This window comes from Homo sapiens, chromosome 1 (assembly GCF_000001405.40).
Source record: "Homo sapiens chromosome 1, GRCh38.p14 Primary Assembly".
In the NCBI taxonomy this organism is placed as follows: Eukaryota; Metazoa; Chordata; class Mammalia; order Primates; family Hominidae; genus Homo; species Homo sapiens.
This window is the reverse complement of record NC_000001.11, coordinates 3,185,964-3,203,106: the sequence shown is the minus strand read 5'-3', so window position 1 is coordinate 3,203,106 and position 17,143 is coordinate 3,185,964. Positions and strand designations below refer to the sequence as shown.

Sequence of the window (17,143 nt, the reverse complement as noted above, 5' to 3'; positions counted from 1 at the left end):
ATTGCCCTGCTTTATCTTGGTGACCCCACATGACAGCAAATTCATCGGGGATGAAGAATGCCAGTTCGGGAGAACACAGCTTCCAGGCTGGGGGCAAGGGTACGACCAGTGGAAAATTATCCACTTTCTTCAGATTCCGTCAAAGAAAACTCCTTCCCCCACACCAACCGCCACGTTCTTCGTCTCTGCACCTCTTGGCTATCAGAGTACTCAGACCACAGGCTGGAGTTGGGTGGGGCCAGCAAGATGCCTCTCTTAGTTCCTCATTTAGCAGGTGGGGAAACTGAGGCCCAGAGGCCACGATGGCTTGCTCAAGGTCTCAGCAGCATCTGTGAGCCTGAGCCTGAGCCGTCCTCCTCTTTCTGTGGTGCCAGGGCCCCGGCTCTGTGATGCAGGCATCTCAAAAACCTGCACATCGCTTTTCGAAAACCTCACAAAGCTACTGAGGTTGAAAAGGAGGAATCAGGAGCATGCAGAAGGCACACACCATCCCTCACCTTTAGACGGCACACACCATCCTTCACCTGCAGACCCTTAAGGGGACATGGGCAGCGCAGCCAGAGAGCAAAAATGCAAAAGGCCTACTTAGGCTCGAGCAGGTGTCTGCTCTCCTAGGATTCTGAAGTCGCCTGTGACCAAGGGGACTGAGCCCTGACCCATCCCTGCCTCTCAGCAAAGCCCAGTGCACAGGGGCCCCACAGGGCAGCCAAGTTCCCCCAGCCTCCCCCAGCCTCCCCTAGGCTTCCCCAGCCTCCCCCAGACTCCCCCAGCATGAAGGATGCACCTGCTCCCTGAAGATGGGGGAAGCAGGAGGCCCTCCAGTCTGCAGCTGACATCTGACGTCCTGGTCCCAGCTGCTCCATCAGCAGCACCGTGTGCTGTTTCCCAGACTCAGTTTCCCCTCATGTAATGCCAAGATGATGAAAGTCTACCATGAGGTCATGCGGGTGAAGGGGCAAGGCCAGGCTGCCCTTTGCACACCTTCGGGGGTGTCTCCAAGGACTTTGGCGCTGCTTCCTGGATGTGCTTTCCCTCCTGAGGCAGGTGGAAAGCCCTCCTAACCTCAGAAGGCAGTGGGGACCTCTCCACTGTGAGGGCGTCCCCTGCCTCATGGACGTGTGGGACCCACTATTATGTACGGGCACCACTGAAGCAAGAAACCTACAGGAGCTGGACCCCTTGCTCGAAGGCTCCACTTGGAGGTCCCTCCGAGAGGTGGAGTCAGCGCCTAAGCTCATGTGGGATCTGGGAAGCCGCAGGCTCTGCAGTGGACACAGAAGTGGGCGGGAGACACCAACCCGAGGTAGAAACAGAGGCCAGGTGGGAGAGGGCTCGCGTGGAAGCGGGGCAGACACGACCCTACTCGGCTCCAGCTGAAGAATGTGTCACCAGCATCCAAGCGGGGAGGTCCTGCCCTGCAGGTGCTGGAAGTGGCTGGGGTCCCCGACCTGCCAGGGGTCACTGGAGAAACGTCAGAGCCGGGGCTCCCAGCCCCCGAGGCCATGCTCAGGGGCAAAAAGTCCCTCAGAGGGCAGCTGCCCCGGGTGGCCCTCCTGTCCTCCCCACAGCTGACATCATTCCTGATGACTGCAAGGGCCCAGGTCTCATGAGGGAATATCCCAGTGAGCAGGAGGCTGGGCCCTGCGGTGGGAGCTCTGGTGTGGGGCCAGGGTGAGGCTGGCTCCCGTGGCTTGGGCTACTGGACTTGAAGGCCACCTCTCTGGGGACTGGACACCCGCCTCTGAGCGCCGAGGCTGCATCTTGTTCATCTCTGTGCGAGCTTCAAGTCAGTGCAATTGAAGTAATTTTAAATCCCATGACAAAGCGAATTTTAGAGGCAAGAGAAATACATTTGTCTCCAGCCCCCCAGCTCCTATGATCATATGAATGGAGTTTGAAGGCTTTTATCAAAATGCAGCCCAGACCCCTTTTTCCATCCCTGTCCTCCTCAAAAGAAGGCAGCGTGGTCTATGCTCCCAAAACTCAGGGGTCCTGATGTCCTTCTGCCATCAGACTTCAGTCATTTGGGCAGCTGGCCTTCCCCGGAGTCCCCACTCCGGCTAAGGGTTGACCCTGGACTCACAGCTCTCAGCTGTCCTCCTCCTCTTCCCCTTCCTCCCCCTCCTCTTCCTCCTCCTCTTCTCCCTCTTCTCTCTCCTTCCTCCTTCCTGCTCCTCTTCCTCCTCTCTTCCTCCTCTGCCCCCGGTTCGGCTCTTGTCCTCGTCTTCTGTGCCCGTGGTCAGGTCTGAAGCTCTGTGCTGAGTCCACAGGCAGCATCATCGGGGTGGAGGCTGGGATTAGGTGCAGGAGACACTCGCCCCATGACCCCCAAGCCCTGTCCACTTGGCGGAAGGTAGGACAAGCAGCACTCTCTGCATTTCCAGGAGGGCCACGCGTGCCGGGGATACTTTATTTGTTCTTCAGATCCCACGCAGGACTCCCAGGCTGTTTTAAAATCCACCTTAGGCTGGGCGCGGTGGCTCACGCCTGTAATCCCAGCACTTCGGGAGGCCGAGGCGGGCAGATCACAGGGTCAGAAGATCGAGACCATCCTGGCTAACACGGTGAAACCCCGTCTCTACTAAAAATACAAAAAATTAGCCAGGCGTGGTGGCGGGCGCCTGTAGTCCCAGCTACTCGGGAGGCTGAGGCAGGAGAATGGCGTGAACCCGGGAGGCGGAGCTTGCAGTGAGCGGAGATAGCACCATTGCACTCCAGCCTGGGCAGCAGAGCAAGACTCCATCTCAAAAAATAAAAAATAAAAAAAAAATCCACCTTAAGCCTAAAGGAGGGCCCCGGCTAAGGGCCTCGGTAGAGCCTGTGGTTTTCTGCCGGTGTGCAGGCTTCAGCCCCCATCCAGGGCAGCCTCGGCCGGCAGGCCAGACCCCCAGGCCCCTCTCCCCAGGCCCTTGACTCAGCGGCTGTGAGGAGAGTCTCTGCCCCTCAGGCCCTGGGCAGTCATCACGGGGATTGTTGCCTCTACTGGAAAGACAGGTGAGCCTCAGCCTCTGCACTGGGATACAATGAAGAAGGTCCCATGTTTACCTCCAGTCTGATATCTCAGCATTCACCCATGTGCACCAGGAGGAAGTGAGGTCCCTTCCCCAGCAAGACCCTGGGAGGCCTGTAGCCTCTGCATTCCCCTGGTGGGGGGAGAGAGACGGAACACAAGGACATCCCTGTCCTGGGATCACTGCACAGCTGTCCTGGAGCCCTTGAGGGGCAGGGTCACCTCTGAGAGCTCAGACTTGAGACAGGGTGCACCGTGGTCTCTCCGGGAAGACAGCATGGTGCTCGTGTCCATGTGGGAGGCATCAAGGGCCAGCAGAGTGGCGTCCTGTCCCGGAGGGCCCCTTGGGGCTCGAGTGCAGCTGGGGCTCCTAGCCGAGCAAGACTTGCGCTTCTCAGCCCCCAGCGATTCTTCATGCACTAGAGAGGCTCATCAGAGGCCCACCCCATGGGATGAGGATGCTTTGAGGGGGCCCGGCAGCTCCAGTGCAAACCTAGCTCCAGGAGCCAGGGCAACTGGAACCTTCTAGAAATGGGACTTTGGCTGACCCAGGAGCCTGAGCAGCCTCTCCTCCCTTCTTTCTGCCTAGAGATTCTTGTTCCTGGGGTGGGCAGGAAGGGGAGGACTGAGCCAGCCAGCCTCTGTAGGTGGAACATGTGAGCTGTTACCAAGAAGCTCAGCAGAGCCCCACTGGCAAGGGGCTCCGGAGGCCCGGCCATTTCATGTTGCTTATGTTCACGTATTTCCAGCCTGGCTCGTTGTTTTCACACAAGGTTTTATTTTTGTGCCCCTGCCCCAGGCCCTGAGACCCCCACCGCTCTTTGGGGGACACCTGGCTATGGCTCTCCGCCCACAGGCAAGCTCCTCGGCGGCACCCCATGGCCATTGGCAGCTTCTGTCCCCGAGGATCCAGAGGTGCCTGTTGAAACTGTGGAGCAAGCAAGCATCCTAATCCCCCTCTGCCGCCACCCCGCACAGCACTCTCTCCAGCCTCCGCTGAGCGCCAGGGCTGAAACGAAGGCTGATAAATTAGTCTAGAGGGAAACAAGGCCGCTTCTACTTGTAAAAGGTCATTTCGACTTTGTTCTGGGTGAGGGTTTATCTCAGCTGCTGCCGCGACAGACAATGCCTGGGGCCTAAATGGCAGAAATCTTAGCTCTGCTCGTGAAATTACGGTGCTGATAAGCCGGAATGGACTTTAGAGAGATCTAAATGGGAACGGAGTGGACGTAGGTATTTTTGAACATGATTGAACAGAGACGACACAATGGGATGTACAATTAAACTGGGCATTAGCCCAGAAGGAAGGAACTCTGCCGACTCCGCCGAAAGCCAGACAAAGGGGGTTCCCGCAGCCTGCGTGCGGCTGGTAATCCCTGCCCCAGCCTGGTGCAAGAGGCGCAGCCGGGACCGGAGGACCAGAGTGGATGCACGAGAGCTCCTGGGCGGCTGCTGCTGGAGGCTGGTGCCGTTCTTCATGCAGCAGGGGAGAGTGGGGCCCACTCACCAAGCCAGCTCCCTGGAAAGCACGGTGGTGCTGCCCACGCGTCCCAGAAGGCCACGGCCCAGTGCCACGCCAAGCACTCCAGGTGGGCCCGGAGCTGCAAAAGCAAGAAGAGACCACGCTCCCCTGCACAGCAGACACACTCACGGCATCCTGGCAGCTGAGTGAGAATAGTCACTTTGAGGCAATTCTACTCACATATGTCCCAAACGACAGGAAAGGCCCAGCCAAGGCCACGCAGAACAAACCCTCCATGCAGCAAGGGTGCCGGCTTGCAGCCATTCTCCAAAGGGCCTTCTCTAAGGCACTCAGATAAACTCCTCACCCCAGAGAGACGCTGCCCTGCGCCGACCTGGCCCCTTAAGGCAGGTGCCTTCAACCACAGCAACCCAGCCACACTGCAGCTCGGGGGTCCAGAGAACGCATGGAGTGCCCGCCCCTGACCCGAGCAGATTCTACCCGCGTGCAGGAGGCAGCAGAGACAGGCAGCCCACAGGAGTTGTCCTCAGGTCGCTGCCCCTCAGCGGGCCTGTGAGCAGTTGCGTCACCCTCATCTCTGGTTGAGGCCAAGGTGGCCCGTAGCACCCTGAGAGCACATTCCTACCCCAGCTGATGACCCGGCCCATGAGAATTCCTGCCACAGGAGAAGCTCTGACCAGCAGCAGGCCTGGCGGGAGGGCAGTGGGACCTGCCACTGCCCCCTGAGGAGTGCGAGGTTCACGCGCTCATCCCCTGACCCTCGTCCCTGACCCAGGGAGACCTCTGTGGCCTGGAACGCGTGGGACCTGCGTCTGACCCAGGGGAGGGAGGGCCACCCAGGAGCTGGCCCACAGGCCTCAGGGGGCCTCTCCAGGGAGCCGCCAGGCCACAGCCGCCCACCCTCAGGAGGGGCCGCCCTCCCCACCCATTCTGCTCCCTGCGAAGCCTGCTGCTGGGAAATTACTCAAAATTAAAAGATCTCAAGCGCAAATGATCTGTACTGTAGATTCTTCAGTCTTAGTGGTCCAGTTGCTTCCTGCCGCCCTCGTAGGCCTACCGCCTGGCAGCACAAAGCTGATCCCGGCACAGCCTTGCAGGGACCGCACTGCAGGTGCAGGCACCAGAGGTGAATGAGCTGCCTCTCAGGCCTGTGCCAGCCCTGCCTGGCTCATGGGGCACGCTCCTCTAGGATGCCAAGGCTGTAGGATCACCCAAGGGACAATTGGACTGAGTGCCCACGACGAGCTGGGGCCGCTGTGATGGCTGGGGGCACACAGGAAGGAGGGGCCTGCCCTGCTCACAGCTGACATCTGGGAGCTGCAGGGGCAGAAAGGGCCCGCCTGGGGGTCGGGACCCTGGGCTCTTGTCCTGGGTCCACCCAGCCCATGGTCGCATATGACTCTTTCCCTCCCTGGGGCCCAGTTCATAACTGCACTGGGAGGGGGAGGAGATGGTGATGTCCCAAGGGGGACTCAGGTATGACAAGGGGCCCCTCCTATCTTAGCCATCACTCCATGCCCGGGGGCGCGTGGCTGGTCAGCCTCGGGCCGCCTCGTGCAGCTGTGGCCGGGGACAGGAGCCATGCTGATGAGCCAGTGGTGTGAAGCTCACCCCCCAGCCTCAGCGGCTGCACAGACCCCCCTGGGCAACAGTGGGGTCCCCCAGTGGACCCAGGCACCCGCCTCTTCGCAGCTCCAGCTTCTGCTCCTTCCACCTGCCCTGCTGAGGCCTGTGGTCAGGAAAGGCTCTGCTGCTACCCGTCAGCCTCGGCACCTTTAGGAAAAGCCTCTCTGGGCTCCCATGGGTAGGGGAGGAAGGAAGTTCAGGGCGGGCCCCTTTCCCAGGGCCTCCTCCTGGGCTGGACTCCTCCAAGTGCCCCACAATGATCGCTTCTCAGAATGCAGACTCCTGGGACCTCCCCCGGGAACTCTCAGCCAGTAGTAGGTAGAGAATGTGGCCTGGAATTGGGTGGGGGTCTCACAGGCTGACCATCTGGGTCAGGAACCCCTGCGGTTCCTGGCTGAACCCCTCTCTGGTGCCACGGGCACCCTGGGGCCACCGCAGAATCCCAGCTTCAGGCAGGGGCACCGGGCGGTGAGCCTCACTCTCTGCCAAGTGTCCCCAGCATTCTCAGGCCCCACAAGGGCCCATGGGTCTACATTTGGGACCTGCTTTCAAACAAGGGGACAGCAGCTTCTGAGAAAAAGTGGGGCTGAGGTCATGTTTACGACACAGAATTCCCCCAAGCCCAGAGAGGGCCATCGGCTGTAGTGAAGTCAAGTTCCAGGGCCCGGCTGGGTCAGGGACCTGCAGAGGACAGAGCCATGTTCAGGCAGGAGCATGAGGCACTGGGCCCAGGCAATCGGCCTGCAAGGCGCAGAGTTGAGACTGCCCCACCTACATGCTGTTAGTGGGGGCAGGAACCGGGTCTGGGCCCAGCTGCCGCCCCTGCTGGAGCTCACCTGTGCCTCTCCCACCTGGCAAGAGCCTGGCTGCCCCCAGTGAGCTCCTGCTGGGGTCACTGAGCGGGACCCACACCTGCCTCTGGGCCCCTGCATGGACAAACCTGGGGGCTGGGAGCTATTCCTTCCTTCTCAGCCCCGGGTTCCCCTGTCAGAGCGAGGGTGGCTGTGTCCTAATCACAGCACAGCTGGGAGGGTCCCAGTGTAGACAGAGCCTCACAGAGACCAGGGCACACGGCAGGTGCCCACCAGGCCCATACAGAGGCCACATGCCTCTGTCATACTCCCTTCACATCCAATCCTTATTTTCCCTAAGGAAGAAAGAAAGGGAGGAAGGAAAAGGGCAGGAGGCTCCGGAGCACCCTGTTCTCACAGGGAGCCTTGGGGGACCTAGGGGGAGGCTGGGCCACGCCCCCACGCAGAAGCCCTTCTCCCTCCTGCTTCTGGCAAAACCCTGAAGACATTTTCAGGCTGGCAGCCCTGATGATGTTTTCAGGTCTCTTGGTACAAGCGGCCGGTTCCTGAGTAAGGGTGGGCTCTGGGTGTCACTGGGACAGGGGGGGCGGGGCGTGTGGGATGCGATTGGCAAAATACTATTTAAGAAGTTGGTATTCACAGATGTCTCTCGAATATGAAAAGAAAATATTTATTTCCTTTTTCGCTTGTGAATCAGAATGCTCTATTTAAAGAAAGTCCCCTCTGCTGGGCTGCAGCGGAGTTATTACCCCTTAAGGAAGTAAAGGAGAGCCATCAGGGAGGTATTCTTAGTCATTCTCTCTCCTTTTTTCTAAAATTCCTTATATACCCGTGCCTCCGAGCCGGGCCGAAGATAGTGCAGGATTTCATGGCATTCTTGGGCTAAAAACGTCTAGGGCTGATGTCACGGTGCCGGGGGACATGGGAAGCCTGTGCTGTGACTCCTCCACGGCACTGCCGGCTTCTCCCGGAGCAACGCCGAGGCCCATGGGTTTCTCTGCATCCCTGTCCCCACGGTGGCCTCAGGCTCCGCACCATCCCACAGGGCCCCGTCTCTCTCCAAATCCCGACGCTGTGTGCCTCGCCGAGCTGCCCGGTGCTGGCTCCACGGGAACACTCCTCAGAGCATCCACTGGCCGGTGCGCTCACGGTTTTAGACGTGAGGCCTCCATAGAAACATCCAGAAGCTCCTGAGTGGGGAAGCGCGGCAAAGCTTCCTGGCCTCACGCAGAACTCTCCACGCAGAGTGGAGCAGCAGAGGTGCCCAGAGCCAGGCCACGTCCCGGGGCCGAGCCCACTCAACCGTGGGGGTGGTGTGGGCAGTGGAGCGTGCATCTGGGAACCTTGGAGAGAAAGGGCAGGCCAGGAACGAGTTTTGGCGTTTAGATGATAAAACGTGGGACTGAGAATACCAAGCCCTAATGTGTGGCGATCAGACGGTGGCGTGTGGCGGGGAGACGGTGGCGTGTGGCGGGGAGACGATGGCGTGTGGCGATCAGACGGTGGCATGTGGCGGGGAGACGGTGGCGTGTGGCGGGGAGACGGTGGCGTGTGGTGGGGAGACGGTGGCGTGTGGTGGGGAGACGGTGGCGTGTGGTGGGGAGACAGTGGCCAGTTGCCGCAGAGTCCAGCCTTGATATTATCAGACCTGCCCCAGCCTCCCTCCCTGAGACTCCAGCCTGAGCCGAGGTCCCCAGCACCTGCCATGGTCTACCCCTTCCCCTCTGTTGGAATTTAAAGGATAAGGCGTAATAGGGTGATCTAAGAGCTCAGCCAATGAGCGCCGGCTGCCCCCACAGCAGGCCAGCAAGGAGGGCTTATGGCGGGGCTCAGCTCCAGGGTGAAAGGGGCATGGGAGAGACAGAAGGAAGCGCCCTGCACAGGGAGGTACCAGTGAACACCTCTGCAGGACCTGAGATGAGCCGGTTGTCTGCTGAGTGACTAAATGCCCTCAACAACCATCCTAAATAGCCCCCCAGTGTGCACTGAGCGTTGCAGAAGGCCAGACGAGTGCTTTGGGAGCCCTTGTTCCTCAGCCCTCCCACCTGTCCCTTGCCCGGCGGTCTGGTGCAGGTGCCGGACAGGACATGCAGGCGGGCTCTCCACTCCTCCTATCTAGGTCAGCTGCTCTCGGCCCAGGCCGTAAATTAGGATCTCCTGGGAGCTTTCACATGCCTGATGCCAGAGGGGTGTGCCAGGACTTTGGGTCTGACACTGGGACGTTCCTGGGCAAACAGGGAGGTTGGTCACCCTCCCTGGCCCCAGCCCAGCATCTCCAAGGCAGGCCTGACACCTGTATTTCCCATGCTCCCCAGGCAACACGAACACACAGTGAAGGGGAGCCCGCAGCCCCCAGCCTCTGCCCTCAGGTCTCAGGCACCCGGGAAGGACTTGGGAGCTTTCCTGACCACCCCCTCCCCCAGTACAGACCGACATGTGGGAGGGGCACTCACTCTTACATTTTCCTATGCATTCAGCAGACATTGTTGGGGGGCAGGGGCTTGCACCTCCTCCCCGGCTGGGTGGGCGCACTTCTCAGAATATGTCTGAGCCACAGGAGCTCCCTGGGTTGAGCCTTCCTTGCCTGCCATCCTGGGGTCCCCCAGAGCCGGATGGGATGGAGAGTGCGGAGGTCCATGGCTGTGGACAGCTCCAGGGGTGCAAAGGGAGCACCCAGCCCACTGAGCAGTGGGCGCTGGACACACAAGTTCTGCTTCTACAGAGGAGAGCTATGTCAAACACTTCTGGGTTCAAACCAGCCTCTGGTGGCTGGCAGGTGCCCCTTCTTCCTGAATCCCAGAGCCATGAGGCAGCCTGGAGATCTCCTAGGAATGGCTAGACCTGGCACTGGTGGGAGCTGCCGCTCCATCCCCTTGGGGGGCCGGGCAGGAGCCCGAAGCCTCAGGAGGTCAGCCCTGGAGGCGGGACGGGCAGGAAGGCAGTGCATCCTTCCACAGCGTCAGGGAACATTGGTGACTCTCCCAATGCCTGCAACACACCCAAAGCTGCCCCCTGGTAAGCCGCTGCGTCTGCTGGGTACTCGTCGTCTGGCCGCTGTGTCTGCTGGGTACTCGCCGTCTGGCCGCTGCGTCTGCTCAGTACTCACCATCTGGCCGCTGTGTCTGCTGGGTACTCGCCGTCTGGCCGCTGTGACTGCTGGGTACTCGCTGTCTGGCCGGGTCCTTCCTAAACTCAGCTGTGCACATGAATCACCAGGGATCTCGCTCAATTGCAGGTGGTGACTCAGTGAGTCCCAGAGAGGGGCCAAGGTTCTTCATTTCCAACAAACCTGCAGGGAGGCCAGCACTGCTGGCTCAGGGACCACACTTTGAGCACCGAGGGTCTTTATGGCAACAAGGCAGCCGGGTGTGTCTGTCTCTGGGTTGATCTTGGTTTCCTGTTTGCTCATGGGCCACAGGGACTGAAAGGGACTGAAGCAGAGTCCCAGGAGCCTCGACAATCCCTCCTGGGCAGGAGCTGGGGCTTGGTTAAAACAGGGTCGCTTCTGCCTGGGCTCAGACCTGTGGCCAAGCTCACCTTGATTCCCCAGCCCAGGACCGACGGAGGGGTCTAAGTCCAGCTCCTACACCAGCACCAAGCCCCGCCCACTGCCATGAAAACGGTAGAAAGGCAGAGCCTCCAATAGGACCTCCTACTTCCCCAAACCCAGTCCTGAACCCACATCCCTCATGAAGAGATTGCCCAATTGGAACATGAGCAGGCCAGAGCATGAGGTCTGGATGTAGGGGCTGACTCCTTAGGGTCTCCTCCTAACACCCTGAGCCTGGTCATTAATCCAGAGCCTGGAAGTGTCTCTCCAGGATCTTCTGGCTCAAAACCCAGCCGGAACTCCCAGAGAAGCAAGGCCTGCAGGCACCCAACCCGCATGCCCCAAGACAGCCAGCTCCAAAAGCTACCGAGCCCAGATGAGCTGGCGACACGGATGATCCCCATCCTTAGAGGCCAAGGCTCTGTCTAGGACTTTAGGCAAAAATTAAGCTGTGGGGGCTATTTGTGTGTGCAAGCTCACACACAATCTCCTGCAGCAAATCATGTTAATATTTGCTGCTGACAGGACATTCAGGAGGAAGGGAGAAGGGACTGGGGTTTGTGTGTGGGAAAGGGTGGCCTGGGTGATTCCCTACCCTACCCTGTGGACCTGGCCACATTGCAAAAACCCTGGAGTAAATTTGCCATTGCCCCTCCTGCCATCGGACTGAACCGGGTCTCAGCACTTGGGGCCCTCCAGTGCTTCCTGGTATGTGGGGAAGCTGGTTCTGGGTGCTACCTTTTTACGCCTGCCTCACGGTGCCTTTAAAAGCCAATCATGGACATTTGTGCTGTGATGTCGGAGACTGAAGCCCCATAGCACTGTCCCTCCTGCTGTCCCAGGGAGCCAGGTGCCTGGCTGGGCTGCCCTCACCCCACTCCATCGTCATCCTATCACCTGGGACCAAAATGGACCTGCAAATGTATTTCTCATTTCTCCCACTCAGGAACAGAAGAGCATCAGTATTCCAAACACATGTAGGGGGACAGGCCTGTGTCCACAGAAGAGGTTTTACTTCCTTGGAAATCCTGCCTTTCTTCAAGGCTGGGTGTTTTGGATAAAATTCCATATTACATGTGAGGACATTTCTCATCTTCTCAGAGTGCAGGCTCTACTTGCTCTCACCCATCCCTGGCTGCTGTGTAGCTCCTGGTCCACAGGGGAGACTGGCAGGTCCTGGCCCTGCCAAAGGCTCTCAGTGGGCTCTGGGGACCCAGGAGGCACCGGCTTGGGGGTCCCATGATGGCAGTGCCAGAGAATTGGTGTGGCCCAAGGCCTCTGGGCTGACCCCAGAGCTTCCCACAGGCCCTGGCCCAGATACAGTGCATTTGTTGATTGAACAAATGAACACACATTAATATTCAGTAAATAACGCCAGGGGTGAGGTCGTCCACTTCAGCACATTCTTCAAATAATTGAAACCCCATCAATTCACATTAACATTTTTCACCTGGCCTCTTCAGCAGAGGCAGAGGCACTTACTCATCAGCGTTCTGATTACAGGCAGGGCCGCTGATGCCTTCGAGAGCCTTTCTGGGGAGACACAGTCAACAAAGAAACAAGCAGACCTTGGGTGGGAGACAGTGGCTGATGCAGTGAGCAAAGTGCCCCCAGTGCCTCCCCTGGGGGTCCTGCGGGATCCCGCCCCAGCAGGCCCCAAGCTGCAGGACCCTGGACACACAGCTGAAGGCCCAGCCGGGGGCAGGTGGCCTCCCCAGTGCCTCACCCATGGCCTCCTCCCTCTGGGCTGTCACCGGGCAGCCGCCTCTTAATTAGCAAAATAAACAGCATGATGATAAATGTCATGATTTACTCAACAAATGTGAAAATCATTGTTTTTGCAGACCCCACGGCGAGCAAATGCGCTCACGGGTGATTTCCTCCAGGCAGGTGGGCTTCGGCGGCGACCGGCGGGGCGTGGTATTTGGGAAGAGACTGAGCCCGGCTGTGTCCAGATGGAGGAGGCCAGGAATTTCGGGTGCACTTCCTGACAAGCCCCCTCCCTGAGATGAAGCCCAGGGGGCCGTTTCCACACACCCCTGGGGCACACACACAGCCATGCACAGAGTGAGCCCCCAGGTCGGGGGTGGGGCATCTGACTCAGGGCACAGCTCAGGATGCCTCGCAGCACCCAGGAACAAAGCGGGTTTAGTCAGCGACTATTCCTAACACACAGGAGGGAGAGAGGAGGGGGCGGCCCTCCCAAAAGCGTCAGCCTCAGCGTAGAAGGAATGCAGGCTTCCGACCAGCAACTGAGGCCGGAGGAAACTCAGCTCCCGACCCCCAGCCTCATTCCTGCGTTGCTAACGGAAAGCTCCCACTTAAAGTAAGGCTGCCCCACGACCTTGAAGTAAGGCTGCCCCACGACCTTGAAGTAAGGCTGCCCCACGACCTTGAAGTAAGGCTGCCCCACGACCTTGAAGTAACGCTGCCCCACGACCTTGAAGTAAGGCTGCCCCACGACCTTGAACCCAAAGCTCGTGGGTGCCTCACGTGCTGCCCGCCCCATCTCTCATCCCCAGGGAGTCATGCTGTCATCTACATCGGCCCCATGTCAGGGAGAGAAGAGCCCCTGACCCTCCCCAGTCATCCCAAAGCCGAGGGTTGCCTGGCACTGTGTCTCTTGCTATACAAAGAGAAAGGAAATTGGACCTTCTCATTTTATTTCAACTGAATTCTCCAGAACAAGAACTTTGTTCTCAGAGTAGAAAGAAAATGGTTTCCATGGTGTCCCAAAATGACAGTAAGAATAATCCACGTGACTTTTATTTCAAACCTATCCTTCAAGAGACGCGCACCCTGTTCCTGCAGGGGCTGCTGCCTGGTGAGATCCCTTTGCTCACGCCACTCCCAGACCCCCTCTCCTCCAGGGGAATCCCACTTCTGAGCTCAGAGTGGCCACAACACCGTGCTCTAGGCCAGCACGGAGGGAGGCCAAAATGACACCGATCCTTCTTGGATTTTGCTTGTTATCTTTACTAAAATATCTTTACTTGTTCTTTTTCAGTAAATAAATACCGTGGACATTACAGTAAAGTCAAATCACTCTGATTCATAACACTTAATTACCAGTGTGAAAGTGAACAATTATACATATGAAATTCAGGACCATCAGAGACGACACGCACGCATGGGTTGTCCCAGGCCTGACCTGGGATCTTGCTGGCGTGACGCTGGCACCCATGTTTTTCTCTGTCCCAGGCCTGACTTGGGATCCCCCTGGCGTGACGCTGGCACCCATGTTTTTCTCTGTCCCAGGCCTGACTTGGGATCCCCCTGGTGTGATGCTGGCACCCATGTTTTTCTCTGTACCAGGCCTGCTCTGGCCGAGCTCACTGCAGGGGCATGGAGGAGAAGGGCTAGCAGGGCCGCTTGTTGGTGTGAGTGGCTTGGGAAGGGGACTCAGCAGAAGGTCCTTCTCGTGTCTGGAACTACAGAGGGATCCCAGCCCTGAAGCCTGGTGTTCCCGTCCCGTCTCAGGCCCCTGTTCACGGCACTTGGAAGACAGGCCAGGCAGTCGGCAAGAGGAAGAAGTCCTCAGAGAAGGAGTCACCCGCAAGTCACTTCTCCCTCCGGGGCCACCTCAGGGAAGGCAAAAACCAGGGGGAAATAGCAATCAGCTCTTTCGGGACAGGTGGAAAATTCTGGGAAGGCTGCTTAAGGGTAAGATGTCAGTTTTCCTGCCCAAAGGCCCCAACTGAGGTGGCTGGAGGTGGGGAGAAACCTCCTTGATTGACGGACATCATTCATTTCAGGCAGAGGTGGCTGCCACTTAATTCCCGCCCCCTGCTTCCTCCTCTCTCTCCTTCTCAGAGGAGGTGGTGGCTTCCTGCCCAGTTCCAATGTCAGCTCCCGAAGGCACCGACGCACATGGCTGCCCCCCGTCCCATCTGATAGAAGCAACAAAACTCAAAGGTGGTCCCAAAGCCAGGGAGTCGGTGCCCGAACTCGCAAGGAAAACAAGGTCAGGCGAGATCCTGCCGGGTGCGCGGGGAGCACCGTTTGAGGGCGTCGGGGGGAGAGTAAATATTTCTAAGCGCCGGCAGGAGGGGTATCTGTCAGGTGGCCACCGTGGAACAAAGCCCTCCGCAGAAACGGGAGGTGCGCCGTGAGGAGAGCGCGTTCCCTCACGTACACACACACCCGGGATAAACACACCACAAAGTCAACAGGCACCGGCAGGCAGTGGCGCAGTCTGCGCTGGGCCTGGCACCACGCGGACATGGTGATACGGGCCATTTCTTTAAAAAAAAAGCAAATAGAAACTTGTATCAGAGTAGACAAGAACAAAGTCACCTGAAGGTCATCCAAAGTGCTACCTGCAGGGCCCCTGGACCTCTCACATCCACAAGCCACCTCCTGATTACACAGTCCAGACCTTTCTAAGTGTGACGGACAAACACCCTTGAATTCCCCTCCCACACACCAGGCAGGGAGGGACAGGCCACTTCTGCCAAAGTTACTTTCACTGCACAGCCAAAGATGAATATTGCTAGAAAAATGCTCTCCTTGGTCCCATGAGGGTCCTGTAGGGCCATGAAGCTGGGCAGTGTCTCCACTGAGGTCTTCGACTCCAAACTCTCTCCCTGTCCTGCTTCACTGGGGCCCCTGGCCCTGGCCAGTCTCTCCCGAAGGTGACCCGACCTTGGGCCCACACACACTGTCCTCTGCCTCTCGTTGGGGGGGTACGCCCGTTCCACAGGGGCTGCCCGTAGAGCTGCAGCTTCCACCCTGCTTGACGGCCGCAGACTCTGCCGCACGTTTCTTCAGGCACCGGGACCCCCACAGCTCTGTAAAGGGCTGGGGGGCTTTAAGCTGACACTCAGGGAGTAGCTCCTGAGTCTCCCTATATCCTTGACAAGGAGCCACACAGGACTCTGTGAGCTACCAAGGACCACATCTGCCTGCTGGGAGCTGCCAAGGTGCCCTGGTCTCCTTGCCCAGGGAGGATGCACTCAGCTCTGCAGCGTGCGGGGCAGCCTCTGGTCCCCAGGCCGTCGGTGTTCTTACAAAGGGCTCTTAATGCCGCCAGCCCGGGGAGGTGCTCAAGGGCTGCTGGAGGCCACAGGAACCTCCCCACGGCCTGTCTGAGTTGGGGCAGGCCTGACAGTGAGCATGGACCTGGCTGGGGACTTCTCCAGAGCCACGAGCCACCAGGAGAGCAGGTGGGCAAGACACAGGACCCTGCCCCCACCCGTCTGGGGATCCTCTTCCCTGCTCAGGCCATTTGCCCATGAGGAGCCCACCTCCATCCGGGCACTCCAGAGGCTGGGAGGCACAGGGGGAATCCGACTGGTGTTCCCATTTTCCACCCAGGCAGGGGCCCTGCCAAAAATACCACCGACAATTGGCTGCGTGAGGCCGGCAGAAGGGCCAGGGCCCACCAGGAAGTGCACTTTTTGTGGGGGGGTGGGGCTGTTAGTCCCCCTAGGACCACTCAAGGGACCCCAACACCGGGGCCTAGCGTCCCTCACAACCTGGGCAGGACACTCCGGGTGCTTCCCTCTCAGAGCCGTCCCAGGGACGCCCTCTCTCCTGACCCCTGCAGCAGGATCACCAGGCCAGCTTCAGACCCTCAAGGCCAGTCACGTCGTGGTGGGAAAATTTAAACAGCCAGCCATCCCTCCCTGGCAGGTCGGGGCCTGTGCCCCTGGAGTTGGAGAAGCTGAGGCTGCTCTTAGGCCACTGGCTGACCGGGGCAGGCGGGGAAGACGGCAGCCGGGGCAGCGTGGCCACCAGGTGTGATTTGTGAGCGGCTCCACACTGCCCTGGCCTGGAATGAAGCCCTGGAGTGCAGCTGCCTGTTCTGGGACTTCCTATTAATCTCCCTGCCCTGCCGCGATGGCAGTGTTCGCGCCTGGGATCCGGCGGGAAGCACGGGATGTTTTAAGACATGAGCTCATGAAAGACACATTTCCGGGAGAGAGTGGGCGTGGCCTACAGGGCTGACAGGCACCCACGAGGACCTCTGATGCTTTCTGAGTCGCATCAGGCGAGCTGCAGGATAAAATAGGCTGGGAAATGTGACATTTGAACGCTCTCTCTGGCCGCGCCTCCCGCCTCGGGCAGTGGCTGCTCAGCCCGGCTTTATAAATAGATTGAACACAAGATAAATGGCCGTGATCAATCATACTCAGGCGCGATCGCTCACCTCCCATCCGAAGTCTGTCTCCTTTGCCGCCGCCCGGGGCACCACCACGCAGGGGCCCAGCCTCTCCCCGGCTTCCATCTTCCTCTTGGCCCAGACCCCCAGGCCAGCCCCTGGGATGGAGGACTCTCGGAGCTCGAAGTCTGCTGGGATCGGAATGTCTTCAGGAATGTAGACAGGGGCCTCGTACGGCGAGCCCTCCTTGGGGGTGAAGTCCTCGCTGGTGGGGAAGGGGGACGGTGGCCCCACGGGGATGGGCGACATGGCACTGTCCTCGGCCTCGTCCTCCGCGCTGTGGCTGGCCAGCAGGTCCCGGTTGGGCTCATACATATTATTTACAACGTCACCGTCACCTAAAGGAGACAACGCAGCGTCAACCTCTGCAGCACGTGCCCCACCCAGTGTGTACAGCTCAGGGAGCGCCGGGGACTCGGGCATCAATGGGCACCGAGGGTGCTCAGGGGCCCAGAAGGCCCGGCTGCCACCCCTGCCCGGGAGACGCTGCCTCCACTCT

The 17,143-nt window shown here is 59.2% G+C and overlaps 1 protein-coding gene and 1 long non-coding RNA gene across 3 annotated transcripts in view, besides 1 other annotated feature; both read right to left on the bottom strand.

The window, feature by feature from the left end:
- PRDM16 (PR/SET domain 16) overlaps positions 1 to 17,143 on the bottom strand; it is a 369,419-nt gene that overhangs the window by 235,515 nt on the left and 116,761 nt on the right. For both annotated transcript variants that reach the window (NM_022114.4, NM_199454.3), the window contains exon 2: positions 16,633 to 16,982. In NM_022114.4, the coding sequence (NP_071397.3) occupies positions 16,633 to 16,982 (350 nt within the window). The remainder of the gene's footprint in view (positions 1 to 16,632; positions 16,983 to 17,143) is intronic.
- Positions 7,581 to 15,549, bottom strand: LOC107984909 (uncharacterized). Its single transcript, XR_001737869.2, has 2 exons — positions 9,391 to 15,549; positions 7,581 to 8,274 (listed from the first exon to the last, which is right to left on the bottom strand). It is a non-coding gene; the product is annotated as an uncharacterized LOC107984909 (long non-coding RNA).
- Positions 13,753 to 14,254: an enhancer, noted in NCBI's record as "H3K4me1 hESC enhancer chr1:3105417-3105918 (GRCh37/hg19 assembly coordinates)". NCBI's record gives its function as "activates a minimal SCP1, AML or CMV promoter by ChIP-STARR-seq in primed H9 embryonic stem cells {active_cell/tissue: H9 hESC(primed)}" and the evidence as "EXISTENCE:reporter gene assay evidence [ECO:0000049][PMID:30033119]".